Consider the following 24580-nt stretch of genomic DNA (forward strand, 5'->3'; position numbering starts at 1 on the left):
CTTCCTCACCTGAAGGGGAGGGGTCCGGGCTTCTCTGGGCCTCAGCTTCCTGCTCTGAAAGTGAGGGTGGGGTAGGTTGAATGGGCTCCAGGGCTCTCCCATATGCAGTCATCTGCTTGGCCCCAAGATGGAGAAGCACCCCACTAAAGTGGAAGAACCCCCCAAAATGGAGGAGCCCCGAGGTCCCAGTACCCCACATCTCAGTTGCTACCTTCCCAGGCTTACTGGGCAGCTCTTTTTTGAGTCACGTGGATACAGGGACCGTTTTCTGAACCCCAAATCAGGGCACAGTGTCTCACAAAGACAGTTGTACCATTTCCAAGAACTAGACAGTCTGGGAGGCACAGTTGGAATGCCCAGATGTTGGCATTTCCAGAACATGTTGATTTCTGGACGAGATATTAAAGCAAAACTGCCTTAAAAAAAAAAAAAACCACAAACAAGGTTTTCCAGTCACACCCCCGCCTCCAACCCAAAGGGCAGAAGTGGGGCCTGTAGCTGAGTCACCAGGGTAGCCTTGGAGACAGACCAGCCACCAGGAGAGGCTGTCCTCCCCAGCCCCACAGTCAACAGCGGGAGAGGAGGAAGTGTTTATGGCTGGTTCTCCATCCTAACTGGTCAATGCCTGAGCCCTACCTTTTCTTCTCAGTCATTTTATTATTAAAAATGTCATAAATACACGTGAAACCTAGAACAACATCATGAACTCCTGTGCACCCGTTACTCAGCTTCACCAACTCAAAGCCAATTCTGTTTCATCTCTTCCACCCTGCCCGTATTCTTTACCAGCTTTTAAACATTTTGCCTGCGCCCCTGGGGTAGGCAGCCCACTGGGCTCAGTGCTGCAGAGGAGCACAGATTAGGTGGGAGCCAAGAGGGTGACGGGGAGGGGGTCTGATGGAACAGGAGTCCCATCTGAGGGCAGGTCCTGGGAGGACTGTGATCCAGGGGTCCATCCCCACCCCCCACACAGACATGCCTGCCTGAAGTTCACACAAAGAGGCTGCGGGTGCCCTTCTCTTCCCGCAGAGGTCTCGGAGGGAACGCCACTATGGCAGGCATTTGCTAACAGGGCAGGCCCATTTCTGGAGCCCGACATCCCTGCCCTGTTTATGGGGTTCTTTGCTGGGATAAGCCTGAGGCCACCCGAGAAATTCAGGCTGCAGGCAGTGCCTCCTTCATGTCTTCACGTTCACTTCTCCCTCAGGGGTCACACACCAAAGTGGAGGCTCCCACCCTCATAGGAGAGAGACTGGTCCTTTTCCCCAGGAGGACACACAGAAGTCACTCCAGGCAGGGTCCTATGGTCTCAAAGCTTTTCAGGGGTCACCTGGTGGCTTGTGGGCAGGAATAAAATAGGAACAGCCCCCATCTGGGTGAGGGGCTCCTTCTCAGTGTCCCCACAGCTCCCTCAGGCACAGCACACGCCGTGGTTCTCACGTCTTGTCCTCGCCGCACTCTGAGCCTCTGCAGGGCCGGGCTGTGCATTTCTCATCGCTGTATCCTTGGTCACTTACAAGGAGTCAGGCTCAGTAAGCATTGGTGGAATGAGAGTAGTGCTGGAGGGACCGTGGCATAATGTCTCAACACAGACTTTGGGGTCAGGTTGACCTGGACTTGAATCGTGGCTGGGCTGCTGACTCACTGTGTGACCCCCAAGGAAGTTCCTTAACATCTCTGAGCCTGGGAGTCCTCCTCTGCAAAGGGGGATAGTGGCAGTGTGTAGAGTTGTTAGGACAATGGGCCGAGCCGGTGCCGTGAGACGCAGCACAGTGCTGGACATGGTGTCTGCTACACGCTTCTATCCATTCATGTCCTTCTACCCATTTGTTCGAGAACTTTCACTGAGTAACTGTTGTGTGCCCGGCTTGATGCTGGGCCCTGAAGAACATGACAGACAAGGGCCCTGTGCTTGGGAGGTTTGCATTCTAGTGGAGGAGACAAAATAAGCAAGTAAGGAAAAAGAAGCAGTAAACACTGGTCATGGTGAGAGTGCCGTGGAGGAGGTGGACGGTGGCGCAGGCTCAGCTTCAGTCCTGAGCAGCAGCCAACTTTGGCAGGCAGGGGAAAAGGCCGGTGTGAGAAACTCAGGTGGGAGGCCCCGGGGGCTGGAGAGGTGAGCAGGTGGGGCAGAGGTGTAGGAAGTGGGAGTGGGCCTGGGGCTGGCTGGGGGCACCTCCCAGGCCTCAGTAGTACACGTGATTGTATTTGAAGGGCCACAGGCAGGGTTGCATGTGGATATGGGGAGAGGACAGGGTGAGGGTAAGAGAAGAGTGAAGCCGCGTCTGTGGCCTGTGTGTGTGCCAAGGTGCGGGATGGAGGGCGAGGGAGTGAGGCAGGGGAGGGAAGGCTTCTCTTCCGTCCTTGGGCCACTGGGCTCTGGAAAGCCCTGCAGTGTGGCACCAGCCCTGCTGGACTTCAGAGCGGTGGCCACAAATCCCTGGAAGCCCCGTGCCTATTCGAGGTTCCCTTTATTGAGCTCCAGCTGGATACCAGGCTCAATGCTAGATGGCAGGAATACCAGGAGGAGACGCCAGGCGTATGGAGATGAGCAGGACTGGTGTCTGCACCCCAAGGCTGGCGGTGCGTGGACCCCGTGGCTCCCGGTCCCAGTCCCTCCCGGTGTGCTGGCCCCGTGCTTCTCCTGGCTCTTTCCTTAGCGGGGCACTGGCCAGTTACCTCACCAACAGCATGCCCACCCTGGAGCGCTTCCCCATCAGCTTCAAGACCTACTTCTCAGGGAACTACTTCCGCCACATCGTGCTGGGGGTGAACTTCGCGGGCCGCTACGGTGCGCTGGGCATGAGTCGGCGCGAGGACCTGATGTACAAGCCGCCCGCCTTCCGCACGCTCAGCGAGCTCGTGCTGGACTTCGAGGCCGCCTACGGCCGCTGCTGGCACGTGCTCAAGAAGGTGAAGCTGGGCCAGAGCGTGTCACACGACCCGCACAGCGTGGAGCAGATCGAGTGGAAGCACTCGGTGCTGGACGTGGAGCGCCTGGGCCGCGATGACTTCCGCAAGGAGCTGGAGCGCCACGCCCGCGACATGCGGCTCAAGGTCTGCCCGCCTTCCACGCCCTCGCCCCCTCCCTCGCCCCCTCCCCCGCCCCAGCAGAGGCGATGTGAGGATTGAGAGGACTGGGGAGCTTCTCAGGGGACTGGGGTGCTGGGACCTTGCTTAGTGGTCGATATTGTTCAGGTGGTCCCCTGGGGTGGGCAGACCAGGACGGCTGCGGAGGGAGGAGGTGGGTGGGCTGGGTTTGGATGGTGGTAGGTGTTGGGCACATGGCAAGGTCACTGGTGGAGAATCACGGCCTGTCTGGAGGGTGTGATCGGGTGCTGTGATGGGCAGCCTCCCCACTCCTCCTGTAACATATCCTGACTCTGCCCCCCAACCCTAGCAACCATTAAAGGACTAGGAGGTGGTCAGAAGAAAGGGAAGTCAGACCATGTGGAAGACAATGAGGGCAGTGTTCCTTCTTCCTCTTCCCACCCACACTTGAGCAGGAGGTGATAGGGAGTTGGGCTGGGGGCTGTTGTACCAAAAACAGCTGGGCTGAGCTGTTGAGCCCTAGAGCCTTTCAGCAGGCAGAATTCTGACATCTGCCTGGGTTCTCCTGGGGCTGCCAGGGCCCCCTGCTGGGTATCTCCATAGCTCAGTCACTGCTGCACTGTGACTGCCCCTCCAGGCAGCCTGGAGCCTCCGCCTCAACCACCGACCTCTGCACTCCCAAGTGCACTGCTTCTCTTGACAGCCCTGGGAGGCCAGCGGGCGGTAGGTGGTAGCTCCATTTTCAGGGTTGGAAGCCCAGAGTCTTGCTCACTGGCAGTGAGAGGCAGATCAGACTGGAGCTCAGCCTCCTGATGGGGTGATGGGGAACCCAGGTGTGTTGCAGGTGCCTGCAGGTGTCCTGGCAGGGGTTTGTAAGAGCTACGGCTGCCCTAGCCATTGCCAGCCCTAGGCCAAGATCTCCTGGGGTGACAGTGCCTTCCCCTAGGGCAGAGGCAGGCTGCAGCCAACCCTGCGTTAGAGAGGGGCTGCTCTCTTCTGCCCCTGAGCTGCCGCTCCCCACCTAGCTCTGGGTCCCCCAGCACCCTGGCTCTTGCTCCTCAGTTTGCTATTGTGTCTTTAAGGCATCAGATTGGATCTAGGGTGAGAGCCAACAGTTCCCTAGTGTTTAGAGCTGTGATGGATTCCCAGCCTATTCAGTGCTAAACACTCACCTGTGTTACTTGCCCCTCTCCAGCACTCCTGCGTTTTGAAAACTCAAGTCAAGCTGACGGTGCCATATAAAGGATGACTCTTTTGTTTTTCTCATTTTTTTCTTAAGCAGAGCTAAAGCTACCAGTCTGACTTCTCAATGGCTGGAGATACCCAGCATCACCCTTGGGGTGAGTGGGATCTCAGCCCCAAGTTCAGTGTGGGCTGCTCCCACAACTGGCACGTTTACCTGGCCTTTGTTGGGGACTTTTTGCAATATTATGGTATCTCAGTGACTTCCCCCACTTCCACTCTGCCTTCAGGAGCCCACAGGGATTGGACAGCCCCATGGAGGAACTCCTGCTCTGGCAGCTTTAGTGCCTGGGAAATAGGTTGGGAAAGATCCAGACAGGGAAGAGCCATGCTTGAGGTTCCCCGGGCCTTCCCCAGGGCAGCCTCCAGGGACCTGTGGCTCCTGGAAGGAGAGGTTGGGCTCCAGGGCAGTCCTGGAGTGATGCTGTTGCTTCCTCCTCTGCACCTAGATTGGCAAAGGGACGGGCCCTCCCTCTCCCACCAAGGACCGGAAGAAGGATGTTTCTTCCCCGCAGCGGGCCCAGTCCAGCCCCCACCGCAGGAACAGCCGCAGTGAAAGACGGTGAGAGAGGGACCACGCCTGGGTGGGTCCAAAGAGGGTTTTTTTCCTTTCCTCTCATCGTGTGGGTCCCTTTTTTTTTTTATCTCTCTCCCACCCTTCTCTCTTTTTCGCTCCCACCCAAGGGAGGTGACTTGGGATGGTGGGTTTAGAGGTTTGTGTATTGACATTTCCCACAGCAAGGCAGTTCTACTTCCCCAGAGAAACCAAACTCTGCTAGCCCACTAGTCTGAGCATGGGTTATGTGAGAGAAAAGGTAGAAAGGATGGGGCCCCTGCAAGGCAGTGAGCCACCCAGGAATGTCATGGGGGAGGGCGTGAATATTAGATGGCTTTGAACATAACTTTGCCCCCCACCCAAGAGTCTGGTTTTTGTCTGTATCCAGGTAGCAAGAACAAGCCATTGAAATACCAGCTCTCCTCCTCTGATTTCAGCTCCTACACATCACTCTGACTCTTGCTTTAAATATAATTGTCATTCAGGAGCCACCTCTCTGGTATGAATTCAGGGGTGGGGTACTAAGCAGGCCTCTGGCACCAAAATATCCATCATCTGTGACTTTTATCTAAGAGGCTTTTGTAGATGACAGATTCCCCTCAGACAGATTTATACTTTAAGCTGTTACCTACCAACTGCAGCCAGATTAGCCAGCCTCCAGCAGCGAGAAAGCCTGTGAGAGCGAGCCGGGGCCACATTCAGACAGCACAGGCGGGCCAGGGTGTCCAAAAACACACTTCCATACGCACTGTGCTGTGCGTTGGAGGGCCACTTGGAGAATGTGGCGGGGAAGCCACCAGGCAGCCGCTGCTGGCTCCCCAACTCCATCTCCCTAACAGACCACTCACTCTCCTCCCGCTCTGCTCTCTTCCTCCCACAGGCCCTCGGGTGACAAGAAGACTTCCGAGCCCAAAGCCATGCCAGACCTTAACGGGTACCAGATCCGGGTCTGAGGCGGATGCCAGCACCCCAGGCCCCACCCACTCTTGGGGGCCAGGATCCACCTGCTGGAACCAGCCTTATGCATGGGGAAGGCGGGGCTGGTGACAAGGCAGGGCAAGAGGCTGCAGGAAGAGTGTGTTCCAGCTCAGCCCCCCAAGCTGCTCTCGCTCCCACTGAGCCAAGCCCCCTAACTTTGGGCCTAGAGGCCGTTAGTATTTTATTTGGAGTTTTTAACTCTACAACTGAAGTTTAAGGTATTTGGGGAAAACTTAGTCCAAATGGATCTGCTGATGGTGGGAAGGCCAGTGCTTAACAAATCCATGTGTCATGGGGCCAGGTGAGGGAAACTGCTGGTTCTGCTGGTGCCTCTGCCCCTGGCTTCTCTCTGGGAGTTGGGTGCATCTTATCAGTGGGAAATCTCCCAGCCTTACCAGGCCTGTGATGGGGGGTGGGGGTGGGGTGGAGATGTTTCTCCAGTTCTGCCTGCCCTGGCAGAATCTTGACCCAGGGAAAGGGAAGCAGGGTAGGAGTCCTTCTGAGAAAGGTCTGTGTAGCCCATTAACCAGGAGCTTGGCACAGGCCACATCTGCCCCAAGAGCATGAGCTCGTGGCTCAGGAGAGCCTTCAGGCCCTTGAGGCCCCCATGGGCAGTGCTGTGTGGGCAGAGGAGGGGTGATATGAGAGCGAGCCCAGGGAAGGACCTCTGGGCAAAAAGTTCCCAGGCCCTAACTGCGTCTACTTGCTCAGTCCCAGCTCTGCCTGTTGCTCTAGCCCACAGGCTCCCTGCGGAGGGTCTGGGCTTGGCGGAGGACCCAGAATGGCACTGAGGCCAGCATGGCTGTGGGAGTTGAGCAAACCCTGGGTGCCAGTCCAGGAGCTGTGGCTGGACATGGGGTGATGGGGCGGGATGCTTGGGCCTGGGTCTCTCCGCCAGCAGTGCCAGGAGCCCTTGCTGGGGAAATCAAGACCAGACTAGGATGCTTCTGCCCCAGGCCTGCCTTCCATTCTTTAACAGCCCATCTTGGCTTGGGGTTGCAATGATGGCTGGGCCAGTCACTTGTGGCAGGGCATCAGGGCCCTGGCAGGGAAGAACCTAGGCACCTGGGGTTGTCCCCAGCCTGCCCGTCAGCATGAGATACCCAGTGGGAAAGTGAGAGGATGCGGAGAGGTTGGCAGAGCCAGGGGTAGGTTCTGGAGGCTCAAGCAACAAGGAGGTGCAGGTAAAGGGTGCAGTGCAGCCACTGAGGGACAGCTGGGAACTGGGGGATGCAAGTGAGAAAGGGATGTGGGGGAGAGTTCAGGATCAGGCTGCTTGAGGAGTAATGGGTTACCTACAGCAGAGACGAGATGGCTGTTTGTCAGGAGGCGGTAGAAAGGTAGAAAGGATTCAGATTGTGGAAGGGTAAACGGATGAGATGACCATTAAGGTTTTGTTTTACTGAGAGGCTGTAAGTCTGCCAGGGACAGCTGTCAGTAAGGCTGCAGAAGGGCTGGGGGGCTACACAAGGAAGAGCAGAACTAGGGTTGTAAGCTCAAATGACGAGCAAACGGTGAGAAGGAGGCCTGAAGGGCTGTGTGGGGACTATGGCTACCTGAAGAGGGCACACCCTGTTAAAGGGGCCACAGCTGCTCAGCTGTTCTTACAGTGCCGGCCCTGTGTTGCCAGATTGTCTGCTTTGTCAGAGGCCAGAATTCTGACTTTTTATGTGAAATAGGATTTTTAAATGCTGGTGATCACTTAAAAAAAACTTAAAAACCCAATACTGGCAAAAGAGGATGCCAGTTTGCAATCCCTGAAGTAGAGAGAGCTCGTGCTGGGGAGAAGTCCACCAAGATGCTTTGAGGCGGGCTGTAGCAAAGTCCTGTTTCTCAGAGCTGGGCTGGGCTGGGGTAGGATCCTTGCAGCTGAGGAGGAGGAAAAGCCACTGAGTCTCCTCCCAGAGCGGGACAAACCAGAGGCCCTTTGCAGTTGCTGGGTCACCAGCGGGGGTGGCGCATGGAGTACAGACAGTGTAGCTCTTGGCCTGCCAGGGAGACGGATGGTGCCTTTGAAGCAAAGAGGAAGGGAAGGCAGAACCAGGGATGCCTTTGCTGATGAGAGTGCCTGTCAGGGAAGGCGCCACAGGCTGGCAGCTCTTCAAACCAGCAGCGCTTGACCCAGAGCCAGATCCAGCATGGCCTGGCCAGAGGCACCCTGGGAGGCCAGCTGGTCAGTCCCTTGCCTCCCCAAGTTCCCCCTGGGGTCAATGAGCCCTGGGAGGATGCCTAACCTAACTCCAGCCAGACTAATAGGGGCATGGTGACCCTTGACTCACCATCCCATCCCAGCTTTCAGGGAGTGGGGGTAGTGTGGTCTCCATGTTCCTACTATGCCTAAGAAGAGATGGCTCACCTTGGGAGGTGCCAGGCTGAAACTAGGTCCTTTCCGGGTCTGGATGCTGCCGCTCAGGAGCAGGGGCGTGGCCTCAGCTGCCTCTGGGAGCTTCCCGGGAATGACAGGGTTTGAGGGGAGTAGATATGAGAGGGAGCCGCTCCTGGTTCTGGAGTCTTAGGAGGTTCCAACTTGCAGGATCCTTTCCCAGAGCCCTCCATGGAGAAAACAGCAAAATGAAGCCCTTACCTGCTTGCTGTCTGCAAGGGAGGGAGCCGAGCCCCAGCTGATAATCCCCCAGCACTCACCCTTCCTGAGCTGAGACTTCGGGGCTGTGGAGACCAGCACAGGACATAGTGGTGCTTTTTAAATTTATTTTTAACTGTTTCTCATATGTAGCAACCCCTCCTCCCCTCCTGGGCATGTTTACACAGGCTCTGCTCTGGGGGCTGGCCTGGCTGTGAGGTTTCTGGGGAGGCAGAGAGGCAGGGACTTTGGGGCCTTAGTCACCATCCATGGTATCACCTCATCTCACTTCCTGTGAGGGACAGGGCCTGGCTGATGTGATCCCAGCTCCCCCCAGTTCAGGACTGTCTTTCAGCTCCTTTGCCCCTGGAGGTGGGGGCTGCTGGCTGAGGAGGGGTCAAGGTGAGTTCAAGAAAGCTACCTGTGGAAAATGGACCAGGTTGGGGGGGTGATTGCAAAGTCTCCCCAAAGCCTGGCTCCTCATGCTCAGTGCCAGGGGCAGAACACTGGGGAGCCAGGTATAGAGAGCCTTCCTGTCATAACTGCCAGTCCTCTTCCTCCAAGGCCTCTGCATATTCTCATGTTCCCCTCACCCATCATGCCAGCCACCCCTATCCCTCTTCTAGCAGGGCCAAGATGGGGACAGCAGCAGCCCTCTGGCCTTGGGATGTGATGATAAAGCAAGCCTAGGGCCAGGGTTTGGGGAGCAGAGAGAGCCAAGAAGTTGACCACGTGTGATTTCCAGCCCTTCCCACTGGGACTTGACTTCCCAGGTCAAGGAGTCCGTCTCATTCTGGCTGGTCGAGTGACCAGAGGCCTGTGTGAATGTGTGCACCTGCTTTTCCTGCCTGGAATGTTTTCTGGCTCAGCTGCAGCAACATCTGTGAGCCCAGTGTCTGCCCTGTGTCCCTGGGCTCGCTCCAAGTGCAGGAACATACATGCAGGGCCCAACATGATGATGGTGTGAAGGGCAGGAAACAGTCCTCTGAAGGAGTGGGGAGGTGGGCAGTCTGCCCCCGCCAGGTACCATCGCCTCCTGCCAGCTTCCTTAGACCAGGCAGGGCTGCCATGGTGCTAGCTGCAAGTCCATCAGTATTGACCGTCTCGCTCCATCTTGGTCCTCCGGAGTCCCAAGTTTCCTTTTCATCAAATCTGACAAGAGAGAAGAAACATGGGTGTGCTTGGCCCACAGGGCCTGGTGGTGATGGACCTCCCCGCTCCCTCAAGCTCTGGATGGCTGCAGTGTTGTACTAGACTTTGTTCAGGCTGTTCTCATCTCAGTATTGCCCCTTCCTTTCACTTTCACACTTCATCTCATTCCTGTTGTCACTTTCCCCGAAACGAATAAAGTCTCCCCAGCTCCTGCTGTGTAGGCTGGGCAGAAACCACAACACGTAAGCCTTGTCTCCTTTCCTTTGGAGCTGGGGCCCGAGCCCTCCCCCAGCCCAGCGGCATTAGCCCCATTGGCTCTGGGAAGAGCCTGACCTGAGGTGAGCCTGAAGCCAGGGAACAGGAAACCTCCCAGCGCCTGCAGTCATGATGAAACTTCTGGGGTTCCAGACTTCCTCAGCCTGCTGAAGCCCCTCAGGCCTTGTTAACCCTGATCTGTGAGCAGTGCTTTCCCCCTCTTCACACAGTGGGCCTGGCCTCCAGAGGCTCAAGTTAGCACCCAGGATGTATTCCAGGACCCTGCTCTTCCAGTCTCAGTCCACAGCAGTCCATCAGGAGCAAAGGAGAAATGGGGCATGTTCTCCTGGGAGATGAGTGTAGCTCAGGAAACCGTAGCAACCTTCTCATCACTTGACATCCAGAACCCATGGGGTGGAAAACACTTCGGGTCCCATCCGTCACCCCCCACTCTTCCTCTCTGTTGTCCCTCCAGCTCTGGACCTCTTCCCACACTTTCAGACAAGCCCAAACAGTTGAAACCAGACTTGCACAGAAAATATCTTTTGGATTTCACAGCATATTTCACCCATAACCCTTCCTGCCCTTGTCTCAGCTCTCCTTTCATTCAGCTTAAGGGTAAAACCCAGACCTGTGAGAGAGGAAACAGTGTATTTCTTACTTTTCATCCCAGCCAGTCCCCACAAGATCGTGGCTAGAAGTGTAGCTTCGCACCGCCAAGACCCCCTCATTTTCAGTGGTGTGGTAGTGACCAGGGGAGGAGGAGGCATGGCAGCAGGAAAAGGAGAGGTGACCCGCAGGAATCCATAGACATCTGGGACTGTACACCAGTAAACGGAGGCAGTTTTGTTACAGGCTCCTTTAAATCCAGCTAAAGCATTACCCAAAAAAAGCACTTCAAAGTAACCAGAATTTATGAATACCTTGCATTGCACACCCTTTCATAGACGCAGTGTTGTAATTTTCATATTTAAGTCCAGCTGATATGATACCAAGTAAAGGGCCTCAGGCTTCAACAAGACAGGTTCATACACAGTGGGGCCCCTGGCCTGCTCTTGTACAAATGAGGGGCTGGGTAAGTAAGTGCTGGGGTGAGAATCTACGTAATGAGTCAGGTAGGCTCTTTGTGGACACTGGCCATTTTCTTAGAAAGCAGAAGGAAATGTCATTGCAGACTCCTGGAGGATCAGAACCCGACCTGCTTGGGGGTGGAAGGGGTTACCTCATTTCCTGCTGTCCCATTCCTCAGGCTCACAGCACGCACCTGCCTAATTTAGGCACCTGACTAACTGGGTTAGACCTTTGGGTGCAGGTGGCCCTTCTCAGAGGCCTGACGATGAAGGGGTTGAAGCTCTGCTGCCCCATTTACCAGGAGCTGGCATTTGGACCACTACCGTGGAGGTAGTGACAGGAAGCAGTCATACCAAGAACCAAGCAGAATGGCCCAGAAGCAGGCTGCCTGTAACCCTTAGTGTCTGCCAGCAAGGTGAGGGGACCAGCTGTTGAGGCCTGGCAGAAGATGAGGAGAGGCCACGTCAGGTCAGCTGGCAGGTCACCTCTCTGAGCCCCGTCCAAATGACAATGTGCACACAGATATACAAACTTTTTCCAACCCTGAGCCTGAAAGGACTTGGTTGTTGGAAGCACAAAACCTCCAAGAATTTTAAGTGTAGGCTCTGTTCTCTCCACAGCGAGCTGAGGCTTCAGGCCTTAGGGTCATAGGAGCTGACTGGGGATGGGACAGAAGTGCAGAGTTCCCTCCACAACCCATGAAGTCCACATTCTCTTGCTTCCAGCAGATCTGCACCCTCACCACCATGCTGCCATCTGGCTGGCCCATACCTGGAACAGTCTTGTCTAGCACATTTGCTCAGGAGGGAGAGGAGAGGGGATGGACCAGAGTGATGGGAGCCCAGGGCTGCAGGGCAGCTCCCCCTGGTGGACCCTAGAGGTGGCCCCTCCCACTCCTGGGAGAAGAGAAGCCACACTGTGCATTTCGCAGCCAATCAAAACACAACCCTCCAATAGAGGGCGGAATGGGGTTACCAGAAGCTGGGAAAAGCAGGGGAGGAGAATGAAGAGCAGGTGGATGGTACAAAAATATGGTGAGGACTAAGTTCTAGTATTTGATAGTACAGTAGGGAGACTATAGTTAACAATTTATTGTATATTTCAAAATAGCTAGAAGAATTGGAATGTTCCCAGCACAAGGAAAAGATAAATGCTTGAGGTGATAAATGTCCTTAAATATCCTGACTGGTCATTACACTTTGTACGCATGTATCAAAATACCATATGCAGCCCCAAAATATGTACAACTATCACATGTCAATTTTAAAAAGGAAAAACAAAACAACCAGAACATTCCTCTAGTTAGTAGCTACAACAGGGCAGGAACTGGAGAGAAAAACAAAACAAAAAAAGCAGCAGCCTCCTGACTGGCCATTTCCCTTCTTGGTCTCCAGTTAAAAGCTGCCTCTGAGCTCCCCCAGCCCCAGGCCCCCACCACCAGCCTCTGCCTTCCAAGATAACCTGTCTTGCCTGATCCTGGAAAGGCTTGTGAGAAACTTGGGGTGGTAAGAAATAAACCAAAGGAGATTCTCAAATTCTATCTCTGGGATTTCTGTTTCCTCAGGTGTAAAGGTAGAATCTGAACACCACCTAAACTGCCACCACACAGTGCCACTGTCTTTGCTAGCTGACGTGGAAGTACTGTGCAAACTTAACAGAAGTGCTGTGGAGATGCTAACTGACTGAGGCAACTAGGAGGAACCCTCCCTGCCAGGAAGAGGTTCTTGGGGATATACCTCAAAGCTTAGGGCTTTCAAATACTTCCTAGCCAATGGGCCCAACTGTCCAGCCTGGCTGGGGTAACGATCTACTCCCAACTCCTACCAATAATTCTCTGGAATTCTTAGCACCTTTTTCTTGCCAAAGCCCAAACAAAGCAATTTCAGATCTGAAAATTCTTCACAAGTAGAAGTGATTATTAACTTTAATTTCTATTTCACCAAGGAATGTGAACTGAAATACAGAGAGGTTAAGTAACTTACCTACAGTCACCAGCTGAACAGGCCAAGAGGACAAATGATGTTTCTAATTCCTAGCTGAGTTTTCTTTCTTTTCTTTTCTTTTCTTTTTTTTTTTTTGAGATGGAGTTTCACTCTTGTTGTCCAGGCTGGAGTGCAATGGCATGATCTCGGCTCACCACAACCTCCGCTTCCCAGGTTCAAGCAATTCTCCTGCCTCAGCCTCCAAGTAGCTGGGATTACAGGCATGCGCCATCACGCCCGGCTAATTTTGTATTTTTAGTAGAGACGGGATTTCTTCATGTTGGTCAGGCTGGTCTGGAACTCTCGACCTCAGGTGATCCACCCGCCTCAGCCTCCCAAAGTGCTGGGATTACAGGTGTGAGCCACCGCACCCGGCCGCTAAGTTTTCTTTTTACTAAATCAATTGAGGGGATCGCAACCCAGGTAGTGCAATGGAAGCAACCAAGTGGCTTTAAATCAATCAGATTCTCAGAGACTGATTCAGAGGCCTGGTGTGGGTTCTGGGAACCTGTTCAGGTAAGACAGAAAACCAGATCTGGTTTCAGGGCTCCCAGTGGGCATGTGGGCTTGGCTGGTCTTACTACATAGGGAGGTTGGAAGACAAAAGCACCAACAGAGGTAGGCCTAGGAAGGAAGAGACATTTTTCCAGCGACAGATGGCCCACTGCTCAGCCCTGGCTCCAGAATGCAAAAGAGATCAGAAATAGATGCTCAGCAAGAGGCATGTGCCACCCGCATCATGTCTCATGCAGCTGCCATAGCTTTAATCAGGAAAACACACATCTTATCCCACTTTGCACAGACCCTCCTGAAGTGCAGAAGATACTAGGAGGAGGCATGGGGGGAGCAGATGGAGGAAGAATGAAAAGCAGTCCAAAGAATCATTCTCTCACTTGGGAAGGACAGAAGAAAGCTGTACCCCAGCAGTGTCAAGGCAGGAGGCTTCACTCAAGCCCTGTTCCTCCCAGGCCTCACAGCAGTGGGAATTTACCTCAGCTAATAGAGGGAGATCTTACAACACATTTCTCAATCTAGATTCATGTCTTGAGACCCCACCCCAAGATCAAAAGCTCCTTAGTCTCTTCCTCTGCCCACCTCATTCTTCAGGCCCTCTCTCAAGGACCTAATCCCTTCAGGATCCTAATAAAATGAACAACATTGGGGGGAAAAAAGGTAAACCTTTATTTGGAAAAAGAGTTTAAATAACAATTTAAAACCCCATTTCACTTTCAAAACAGAAACAAGAAAGCAAGGAAAAGATAATCTATCAAGCATCTGCCCTCTGCTGTGGTTAGCCATTTTAAAGCTGCATTTCCCAGCAGAAGAGAACAGTGATGGGCCCTAGTCCTAGGAACCCACAGGGCACTGTCTTGAGACCCTTTTAGGCAGTGTCCAGGGAACAGACAGACAGAATGAATGGTGGGGTGTAGACAGACCTGGGGCTCAGACAGGCACATGCCCAGTACCCAGGAAACAAAGTTTGAAAATATATACACATAGAAAAATAAATTCCCTAGAACCTAGGCATGGAAAGCTTCTAACCATGAATGCAGCAGCACAATGCAAACTGGGTCTTTGGCTTTCAAAAAAAGGAAAGAACCTTAACCCCTGGCTTACTGTCCCGAACTCAAGTCTCTTGACCACTGTCTTCAGTCCCACTTTGGAGGTCGAGTGAGGCAAGAGCAAGTCAAATCTACCAGGGCCAGCAGCCACTCTGACTTAGGGAGATGTGTGGAGGGGCTGGCCCAGGATCTCCCAAGGCCACACCCCAGCAATGAAAGATTAAGGCATGCAGGTGACACAGTGTGGACTAAGGAGTCCCCTGAATAAGCCAGGGTACCCTTCTGTTAGGGGAGGGAAAGCAGACGCAACAAGCAGCTGAGGCCTTGCTGGACAGAGCCAATCCGCAAGTACTGCCACTTCAAATTCTTGGACCAGTTTTGTCCAAGGCCACCTTTCTGCTGAGGCAGTTTGGCCTGAGCTAAATACCAGGGTTTTCTAGAAAGGAAATGGAAGGGAAGCGGGAGATGGGAGATAGCAGAAAGTAAAAAGTGGTGGAAGGAGAGGAACAGAAAATTGCTTCTTAGGAGTGGAGAGGAAAGAGAATCAGCTTAGGTCTTCAGTCCCAGCTGAGGCAGCTGAAGAGTCTACCTGCTCCTTCCCCTACTGGAACTCCTACCCTTGCCCCAGTTCTGCAGGCTGCAGAGTCCAGTGAAACAAGAGTTTCCTGAAGACTCTTTCTCCTCCTAATCCTTAAATAGTTTTAAACCTCATACCACTACCCTAGCCCAATGAACCCCACATAAGGGTTCAAACTTCCGCCTCCCTCAGGGAAGCCTGGGGAAAGGGATGGCCCTTGTGAAATTACACCAGGTCTGTGGGGAGCTCTGGGTTGGAGGCACAGGGCCAGCTGGGACAGGTAGCGCATCCCCCAAAATTTGCCACTCCAGGATGTGGGCCCCATTTGTTCCCAGAGCCCAGACGCCGGGCCTGCCCTGGTTGGCAGGATGAATGCCTAATGAAACACAGAGGCTAAAAGGAGAGATGGGGCCATGCCCTGCTGCTGCCTGCTCATACATAGGTACTTGGGTAGACTCTGAACCTGCCCCAGGCCTACAGCCCCAACATGAAAAGTGGACTGGTCAGAGGCAGGCATGGCTGTGCAGAAGTCTCACCCCAAGAGGACACATACATGATATGCATATCTCACATATGCATGCCTGGCAAGAGGGCTGGGCCCAGAAGTCCTGAAGGCAGGGAAAAGGTCAGGTCAGAAGGTACATCAAGAAACGGCCTGAAAGCAAATAACCAATGAAATCAAGAACTCCCATAACCCTGGTAATTAAAAATCAAGGGGGAGCGCTGGATACATGGAAGGAAGGGGGAGCCCCCCTTCTGCCTCTCCCAGGGCCACTGAGTGTGTGGCACAGGATTAGGAAGAGGCTGGGGTGGGGCAAGGACCACAGGCAGAGAACGCAGCCAGGCCTGGAGAAAGTCTAACCGTGGGAAAAAGGGAACGAGGAGGGGGAAGGGAGGGGATGTAAGTTTCTTGGATCTAAGTTTCTAGATGCATGGGATTTTTCCACAGTCTCTGATCCAGTGAGCTCTTCTGGAAGAGAAGCTCTCTTCCCCTGGGAGCCCTGTCATGGGGCGGTGACTTCCATCCCGAAGCTGGCTAGCAGGCAGAGGTGGTCTGAAGAGCAGAAGGGGTTGGGTAAGCCATTGGCAGCCCAGAGTATCTCTTCAGAGAGAAGGGAGAGACGACCCAGGAGCTTGAGAGTTCCATCTCGATACAGCCTGTGATCTGGGGCACAAAGCAGAAGCCAATGGGTAAAAGCAGCCGCAGCCACACTGCATGGGCAGGCAGTGGCAGAGTCCTTTGGGAACGCCTTCTGCAGGCTGCATCCCCTTGGCTGCCCACTGCCCCTCACCTCCTCTTGCAGCATCTGGCTGAGGAGGCCCCATTTTCTCAGAGATACTCCATAATATCATCAACGAATAAAGACAGGTGAGTTCCGGGGAACTGGGGCAAGCTGGAGAGCCCACCATTATAAGATCTTTTGATTTTCCAAGAGAAGCTAGAGATCCAGCTTTTCTATATAAAATCTGATTTTTTTTTTTTTTTTTTTAGATGGAGTCTTACTTCGTTGTCCAGGCTGGAGTGCAGTGGCGCAATCTCAGCTCACTGCAACCTCTGACCCCCGGGTTCAAGCGATTCTCCTGCCTCAGCCTCCTGAGTAGCTGGGATTATAGGTACCCGCCACCATGCCTGGCTAATTTTTTTTTTTTTTTTTTTTAAGACGGAGTTTTACGCTTGTTGCCCAGGCTGGAGTGCAGTGGCACGATCTCGGCTCACTGTAACCTCTGCCTCCCGAGTTCAAGCGATTCTCCTGCCTCAGCCTCCCAAGCAGCTGGGATTACAGACACCGTCACCACACCCGGCTAATTTTTTGTATTTTTAGTAGAGACGGGGTTTCATCATGTGGCCAGGCTGGTCTCACTCCTAACCTCAAGTGATCTACCCACCTCGGCCTCCCAGAGTGCTGGGATTACCGGTGTGAACCAGTAATACACGTGCCTGGCCATAACAGTAATACACATGCCTGGCCAAAAAGAAACATTCTTTACACAATACAGGCATGGGGCTGGGAGATTGCTATACTGTGCCCACTGGTATGGGGAGAGGAGACAGAAAATAAGGTCTCTTACCTAACCAAGTCCCTCATTCAGTGGCTGTCATTAAACAAACTCAACCAATTCCTAGATCTCTATTTTTACCTCTAAAATGGGGATTGGGAGTGACTGTCCTACCCTCCTCTCTTTAATGCTGCAAGGGTAAAAAGAGACAAGGCAGGCAAGTGGCCTATGGGGAGAATGATAAGGATGACCAGTGCAAGGGAGGTATGAAATCTGCTCCTTTGCTGGTTAAATCCCAGCAGCTGAAGACATGCTACCAAATGCCTGACCTACCATTAGCTGTTCCCAGGGACCTGGGGGTGGAGGAACCCAGGATCCATCAGGCTTACCAGTTCTGTTCCCATTCTCACAGGACTCAGCTGAGAAGAAGATGTAATCTACTGTCATTCCAAGACCCAATGGCATTGTAGTGACCTCTGGGCGGCCACGCTGGGGCAGGAAGTGGGTATATACTGACGTCAGGTGGAGGCAGTGCTGGATGGTACCTACAGTCCTACAGGGATGAAGGGGGAAACATTAGTTAACAAAAATTACTAAATTTTCCCTAGATCACTTTTTCTATGGGTTTTATGAAGATTTTTTAAAAGGATGATCTCAGATGACTCAATCTCAGCCAATTCCTCCCCATGCTAAGAAGGGGCTGGCAGTCTTAGCTAAAATTAGCCTAGAAACACACATTTGTACTGAGACTCCCTAACACTCCTAATCCCCCACTATCTGCTTGTTACCTGGTAAAGTATCCCCAATGTACCCCTGTCTGGGGCCCAGGCCTCTTCTGTGAGGCTTTACCCTCTGAGGAAAGAGTACATAGCCTTTTCACCTGCAGTAACATGGGTGGGTCACCTCTGGCTTCTGCATACCTACATAACCCTCTATAAGTTTAGCAGATATTAGGGGAAAAAGAGCTTATCAAAAAGTGCTCCCCCAAGTCAACCTCAGGACAACCAATGGGAATCTCTCTCTTACACCTAGGCAAGGGCTGGATTGAAAACAGAAGAGAACTGGAGAAGGTTACCTGGAGAAGGCAGGCTCAAGCTCCGATGCATCTTCCTCAAGGACAGACTCAGCCCAACCCGCAGGTCGCTCTGCAGAGGACCAGAGAGAAAAACATTTTCTCATCCACAGACAGTGAAGCAGGATCAGAACCTTTCACCCTAAAATCCCTCTCAGATCCTTGACTGGATTGCTTCAGAAGGATCCAGAAGGAGAAAGGGAGAAACAGTGAGGAGGAGAAGATGACCATAAACCAAAGTCAAGAACCTCAGAAAGCAGATGTAGGGCATCTAACACAGACATTGTCTTCTGTGGCTCCTCACCTTTGTTTTTCTTTAATTTGATTAAAAAAAAATAAGTCATATAGTCACATGGTACAAAATCAAAATGTAGCAAAAAGTATCAGTGAAGTTTCCCTCTCACTTGTCCTCCTCTGCCACTCAATTCCCCTCTCCAGAAGCCACCAATGTTACCAAATTCCTGGTATATTCCTTCAAAGACTTTCTATTACATACCATCCATTGTGTGTGTCTATGCATGTATGCATACATGTATATATACATACATATTACATATATGTATACATCTATAAGCACACACACACATACATATCATACACACGAATGTTAAAAAAGGAAGATACAAATTACCAATATCAGGAAAGAAAGAAGGGACATTAGTACAGATCCTACCAACATTAACAGGATAATAAGGATCAGCAACAACAGTGACAAGCCCTTAGCTAGACCAAGAAAACAGAATACTCAAATTACTAAAATCAGAAATGAAAGAGGGGCCATCACCACCAACCATTTAGAAATAAAAAATAACTATAAGTGAATGCTATAAATAACTGGATACCAACAAATTGGATAACTTATATAAAATTGAAAAATTCCTAGAAAGACACAAACTATGCACAATAACTCAAGAAAAAACTGAAAATCTGAATAGGCCTATAATAAATAAAGAGATTGAATCTGTAATTTTAAAACATCCCACAAAGAAAACACCAGGCTCAATGGCTTCACTGGTGAATTCCAGCAAACATTTCAAGAGGAATTCATACAAATCCTTCACAAACACTTCCAAAAAAAAGAGGAGACACTTCTCAACTCATTCTATGAGGCATTACTCTGACATCAAAACTAGATAAAATGTCACAACAAAAACTATAGACCAATATCCCTTATGAATACAGATGCAAAATTCCTCAATAAAATATCAGCAAACCAAATCCAGCAAAATATAAAATTATATACTATGACCAAATAAGATTTATCCTAGGAATGTAAGCATGGTTTAACATCTGAAAAATCATATAATGTGATATGTCGCAATAGAATACTTAAGTTTAAAAAAAAGCCACATGATTATCTAAACAGACAGAAGAAAAACATTTGACACACTCCAACACCCTTTCATGAGTTAAAAACACTCAAAAAACTAGGAATAGAAGAAAACTTTCTCAATCTGATAAAGAGAATCTATGAAAAACTCACAGCTAATATCATACTTAATGGTGAAAGACTGAACGCTTTACCCCTAAGATCAGGAACAAGGAAAGGGTGTCTGTTCTCACCTCTTCTATTTGACATTGTACCAAAAGTTTTAGTCAGAGTAATTATGAAAGAAAAAGAAATAAAAGGTATCCAGATTGGAGTAGAAGGAATACTATTTCTATTTGTAAGATGACATGATCTTATATAGAGAAAATCCTAAGAAATCCACTAAGAAACTATTAGAACTAATAAATGAATTCAGCAAGATTGCAGGTACACGATCAATACACAAAAATACTTCTATACACTAGCAATGAACAATCCAAATATGAAATAAAGAAAATTCCATCTACAATAGCATCAAAAATGAAATAATTAGGAAAAATTTAATAAAAAGTGTAGGCACACTAAAAATTACAAAACTTGGAAAGAAACTAAAGATCTAAATAAGGAAAACCAGCCCATGTTCATTGGCCATAAGACAATATTGTTAAAATGGCAATACTTCCCTAGGCAACAGACTGAGTCCTTGTCACAGAAAGGAAAGAAGGAAAGGAAAGGGGAGACGGGAAAGAGGAGAGGAGAAAGAGGAGAGGGGAAAGAGGAGAGGGGAGAGGAGGGGAGAGGGGATAAAAGGAAAGAGGAGAGGGGAGGAGGAGGAGGAGGGGAGGAGAAGGAAGAAGAGGGAGGAAAGGGGAGAGGAGGAGAAAAAGGAGGAGGAAAAAAGGAAAGGAAAGATTTGTAGATGCCTATCAAAATCCCAACTGGTTGGTTTTTTTGGTTTTTTTTTTTTTGTCTTTTTTTGCAGACACGGATATGATGATCCTAAATTTCATACGGGAATGCAAGAGACCCAGAAGAGACAAAAATCATCTTAAAAACAACAAAGTCAGAGGACTTACTCGTCCTTATTTCAAAAGTACAGTAATCTATCTTATCCATGGGGGATACATACCGAGTCCCCCAGCGGATGCCTGAAACAATGGATACTACCAAATCCTAAATATACTGTTTTTTTCCTAAACATACCTATGATAAAGCTGACTTTATAAATTATGTACAGTAAAAGATTAACAATAATAATAAAATAGAAAAATTATAACAATATATTGTAATAAGGTATGTGAATGTGGTCGCTCTCTCCCTCAAAGTATCTTAAGGTTTTTGAACCTCAGTTGACCAGGGGTAACTGAAACCAAAGAAGGCAAAATCACTGAGAAGGCGGACTACTATATACAAAACTATAGTAACCAAGACAGTGTGGTTCTGGCATAAGGACAGATACAGACAGGAAGGGAACAGAACTGAGAGTCCAGAAATCCATACATCTATGGTCAATTGATTTTTGACAAGGGGAGAAGTAAATGGAAAGTGACTCATGGGTGTAAGGTTTCGTTTGTGGGTGATGAAAATGTTCTAAAATTAGATCATGGTGATGGTCACACAACCCGGAATATACTAAAAGCCAATTAATTATACACTTAAAATGGGTGGATTTTATGACATGTGAATTTCATCTCAATAAAGCTGTTCAAAAAAAAGGATATGGGAATGTTACGAACAACTTCACGCCAATATATCTGATAATTTAGATGAAATGAAATACCCCTTTAGGCCAGGCGCAGTGGCTCACGCCTGTAATCCCAGCACTTTGGAAGGCTGGGGCGGACGCATCATGAGGTCAGGAGATCGAGACCATCCTGGCTAATACAGTGAAACCCCGTCTCTACTAAAAATACAAAAAATCAGCCAGGCGTGGTGGTGGGTGCCTGTAATCCCAGCTACTCGGGAGGCTGAGGCAGAAGAATCGCTTGAACATGGGAGGCAGAGGTTGCAGTGAGCCGAGATCATGCCACTGCACTCCAGCGTGGGCAACGGAGCGAGACTCCATCTCAAAAAAAAAAAAAAAAGAAAGGAATGCCCTTTTATATGCCTTATATTCTTCCTGTTAGATTTATTTCTATATTTTTTCTTTTTGTTGCTCTTACACAGTGTATTTTTTTCATTATATCTTTTAATAAACATGTATTTCTATATAGGAACACTACTAAGTTCTGCACATTAATTTTGTACCTATCTACCTTCCAGAATTATCTTAATGCTTAATGCTGCTTAGTTTATTCTCTTGGATTACCAGTTATAAAATAATATCATCAGCAAGTAATAATTTACCCCCTCCTTTCCATTTTTATCCTTCTATTTTGCTATATTTCTATTTTCTACTTCTAATTCTGTTGGCTGGTATCTCCAAACACAGTTAAATTATGATAGTCTTGTCCTTGTCTTGTTCCTAACTTTAACAGGAATGCTATTAGAGTTTTTTTCTTTAATCAAGATGCTGTTTGGAGTTGAAATAAATACATTTCAATGGTGTAGGAAATTATCCATTTTTTTCTTAAGAGGGTTCATTTTAAAAGAATCAAGAATAGATGTTGAATGTTAACAGATGTCTCTTCAACATCTATACAGAGGATGGCACAAGTTTCATGTATTTTAGATTTCACATATATATAAAATTATATTAATAGATATCCCAATATTGAACTATCCCTATACTTCTACTAAACTTCAGTTGGTCTATGGTATATTGGTCTTTCAATATGCTGCTAGATTTTGTTTCCTGATCTTCTATGTAAAATTTTTTGCATCAATATTCACAGGTGGAGAACATTAGAGTCTGCAGTTCTCTCTTTCTGTGTGTTTACTGTCAGGTGTCAGTGTCAATATTATACTTGTTTCATAAAAATAACCTGGCCCCTTTCTCTCTCTGTGCTTTGTAACAATTTAAACAATAATGGAAATATATGTTTTTTAAAGGTTTGAGGACATTCCCTATCAATCTGAGCCTGGTGTTTCTGAGGGACTGTATCTCTGAGAACTTTTCCTATTACTTTTCACCCCATGGTCATTAGTCTATTTAGACAATCTCCATGGGAATCAGTTTTAGTAAATTACATTTATATGCCATCCAAATTTTCCATTTCTTTTGCACTTAGTTGAGCAAAAACAACAAAAAACCCTTGTGATTCTTGATTCCGCTGCATCTGGATGCTTGTTCCTGCTCTTTTCCCACTTACATAGGTTAGCTAATGAGCTTCTTTAATCAACAGCTATTTTTCATCCAAGCAACCAACTCTTAAGAATTTATGAGTTCTTCCATTTTTCTGTTTTTAAAATTATTTCCATTTGAATCTTCTTTCCTTTTGCTTTCTTTCAGTTTCTTTCTTTTTTCTAATTTCTTGAATTGGGTGCTTAACTCACTTTCATCCCTTCATATCTATTAATATAACTCTATGATTCTAAATATTTTATGTAATTCTATGAATTTTTTCTTGAACACCATTTTAGCTATAACCAACAAATATAATGGTATTTTCATTATTGTTATTTTCTAGATATTCCACAATTTCCGTTTAAATTTTCCTCTTTGATCAAAAAGTTTTTTAAATGTCCAGTTCATAGTATTTTTTTTCTTTTTCTTTTTCTTTTTTTTTTTTTGAGATAGGGTCTCACTCTGTCACTCAGGCAGGGGTGTGATCACAGCTCACTGCAGCCTTGACCTTCCGGGCTCAAGTTATCCTTTTACCTTAGCCTCTCGGTAGCTGGGAGTATAGGCACATGCCACTACGCCAGGCTAATTTTTCTATTTTTCCATTTTGTGTAGAGACAGGGTTTTGCCACATTGCACAGGCTTATTTCGAACTCCAGGACTCAAGGGAATCACTTGCCTCAGTCTCCCAAAGTTCTGGATTACAGGCATGAGCCACTGTGCCCAGCTTTTCACTTTTAACTTATATGTTTATTGCATGTGCTTTATGATCTAACATATGATCAATTCCTAAGAATTTCCTATGAATACTTAAAAAGAAAATGTCTTCTCTGCTGTCAATGTTCGGTGTTTGATATATATGAATCAGATTTATCATCCGACATGTTACTTAGTTATTCTATATTCTTAGTCATCTTTTATCTACTTGATCTGCTGCAGACTCAGAAAGATCAATTAAAGCCTTCTACCTTTAGTTATTGTCTATTACTCCATGTTACAGCCTATGGTTTCACTTTGTGATTGTTGATGCAATGTTATTTGGAGCATAAACATTTTTAACACTAGTATCTTTAAGTTACATCCTTTGTCATTACAATATGCCACACACACACACACACAAAATCACAGTGACCTGCAGGATCTTAAACATGATTTCCCTAGACACCATTCTTACCATGCAGCACTGTGAACAAACAGCACTGCTCTGGCAGTTATACAGGACTCAAGGCTTCCACCTACTCTGCTCCAGGTCACATAAGCTGCTACCTCTACATGAGCTACAGCCTCTTCCTGGGCCCATTCAGCAATAGTAGCAGCCACGCATGCAAGTTCCTCTGCAAGAACTTGGGAAGAGGATCCTCAGTTGTATCACACAACAGCCAGTAAAGAAGCTGGATTTAGGACTTTCCTGCTCTTTATGATGTTAGTTGTAGGCTTGTTAAAAAACAAACAAGCTAAAAAGAACTTTTCTGCTTAGAAAACTGACCAGATAGGCCAGACACAGTGGCTCACACCTGTAATCCTAGCACTTTGGGAGGCCGAAGCCGGGGGATCACTTGAGGCCAGGATTCAAGACCAGCCTGGCCAACATGGTGAAACCCTATCTCTACTAAGACTACAAAAAATTAGCTGGGTGTGGTGGCATGCACCTGTAATCCCAGCTACTCAGGAGGCTGAGGCAGGAGAATCACTTGAACCCAGGAGACAGAGATTGCAGTGAGCTGAGATCGCGCCAATGCACTCCAGCCCGGGTGACAGAGTGAGACTCCGTCTCGAAAAAAAAAGAAAACTGACCAGATAGCCTTAGCCTTTGCTGTGTGACTGTGTGAAAGAGAACTGACCAGATAGCCTTAGCCTTTGCTGTGTGACTGTGTGACCTTCCGGTCAGTTTGTTAACTAGGAGTTTACAAAAATCGCCCATTAGCAATTGCCTTTTCTGTAATGTGCTAAATTGTGCACATGGTTTGCTCT

The 24580-nt window shown here is 49.1% G+C and overlaps 2 protein-coding genes and 1 long non-coding RNA gene across 14 annotated transcripts in view, besides 2 other annotated features; 1 reads left to right on the forward strand and 2 right to left on the reverse strand.

Moving 5' to 3' along the window:
* Positions 1–9799, forward strand: part of VASH1 (vasohibin 1) — a 21548-nt gene extending 11749 nt beyond the window's left edge. For 7 of the 8 annotated variants that reach the window (XM_047431082.1, XM_047431084.1, XM_047431083.1 and 4 more), the window contains 3 exons: positions 2676–3057; positions 4743–4855; positions 5730–9799. In XM_047431082.1, the coding sequence (XP_047287038.1) occupies positions 2676–3057; positions 4743–4855; positions 5730–5802 (568 nt within the window). In that variant the 3' untranslated portion in view covers positions 5803–9799. Of the gene's footprint in view, positions 1–113; positions 1500–2675; positions 3058–4742; positions 4856–5729 lie in introns of those variants that run through there. The other variant, XM_017021091.2, reaches the window with a different exon arrangement.
* Positions 2323–3281: an enhancer, noted in NCBI's record as "H3K4me1 hESC enhancer chr14:77241882-77242840 (GRCh37/hg19 assembly coordinates)". NCBI's record gives its function as "activates a minimal SCP1, AML or CMV promoter by ChIP-STARR-seq in primed H9 embryonic stem cells {active_cell/tissue: H9 hESC(primed)}" and the evidence as "EXISTENCE:reporter gene assay evidence [ECO:0000049][PMID:30033119]".
* Positions 8517–13508, reverse strand: VASH1-AS1 (VASH1 antisense RNA 1). Of its 2 annotated transcripts, NR_104183.1 has the most exons (3): positions 12869–13508; positions 10477–10635; positions 8517–9560 (listed from the first exon to the last, which is right to left on the reverse strand). It is a non-coding gene; the product is annotated as a VASH1 antisense RNA 1 (long non-coding RNA). The 2 variants fall into 2 exon arrangements; NR_104184.1 differs by lacking the exon at positions 10477–10635.
* Positions 11606–11655: an enhancer, noted in NCBI's record as "active region_8772". NCBI's record gives its function as "activates an Ori minimal core promoter by ATAC-STARR-seq in GM12878 lymphoblastoid cells {active_cell/tissue: GM12878}" and the evidence as "EXISTENCE:reporter gene assay evidence [ECO:0000049][PMID:35858748]".
* ANGEL1 (angel homolog 1) overlaps positions 12793–24580 on the reverse strand; it is a 26874-nt gene continuing 15086 nt past the window's right edge. For 2 of the 4 annotated variants that reach the window (NM_001370748.1, NM_001370746.1), the window contains 3 exons: positions 18081–18150; positions 17395–17558; positions 12793–13376 (listed from right to left, as the gene is read on the reverse strand). In NM_001370748.1, coding sequence (NP_001357677.1) covers positions 13153–13376; positions 17395–17558; positions 18081–18150 — 458 coding nt within the window. In that variant the 3' untranslated portion in view covers positions 12793–13152. Of the gene's footprint in view, positions 16173–17394; positions 17559–18080; positions 18151–24580 lie in introns of all 4 variants that reach the window. The other 2 variants (NM_015305.4, NM_001370747.1) reach the window with 1 other exon arrangement.

Source organism: Homo sapiens, chromosome 14 (assembly GCF_000001405.40).
Source record: "Homo sapiens chromosome 14, GRCh38.p14 Primary Assembly".
Classification (NCBI taxonomy): domain Eukaryota; kingdom Metazoa; phylum Chordata; class Mammalia; order Primates; family Hominidae; genus Homo; species Homo sapiens.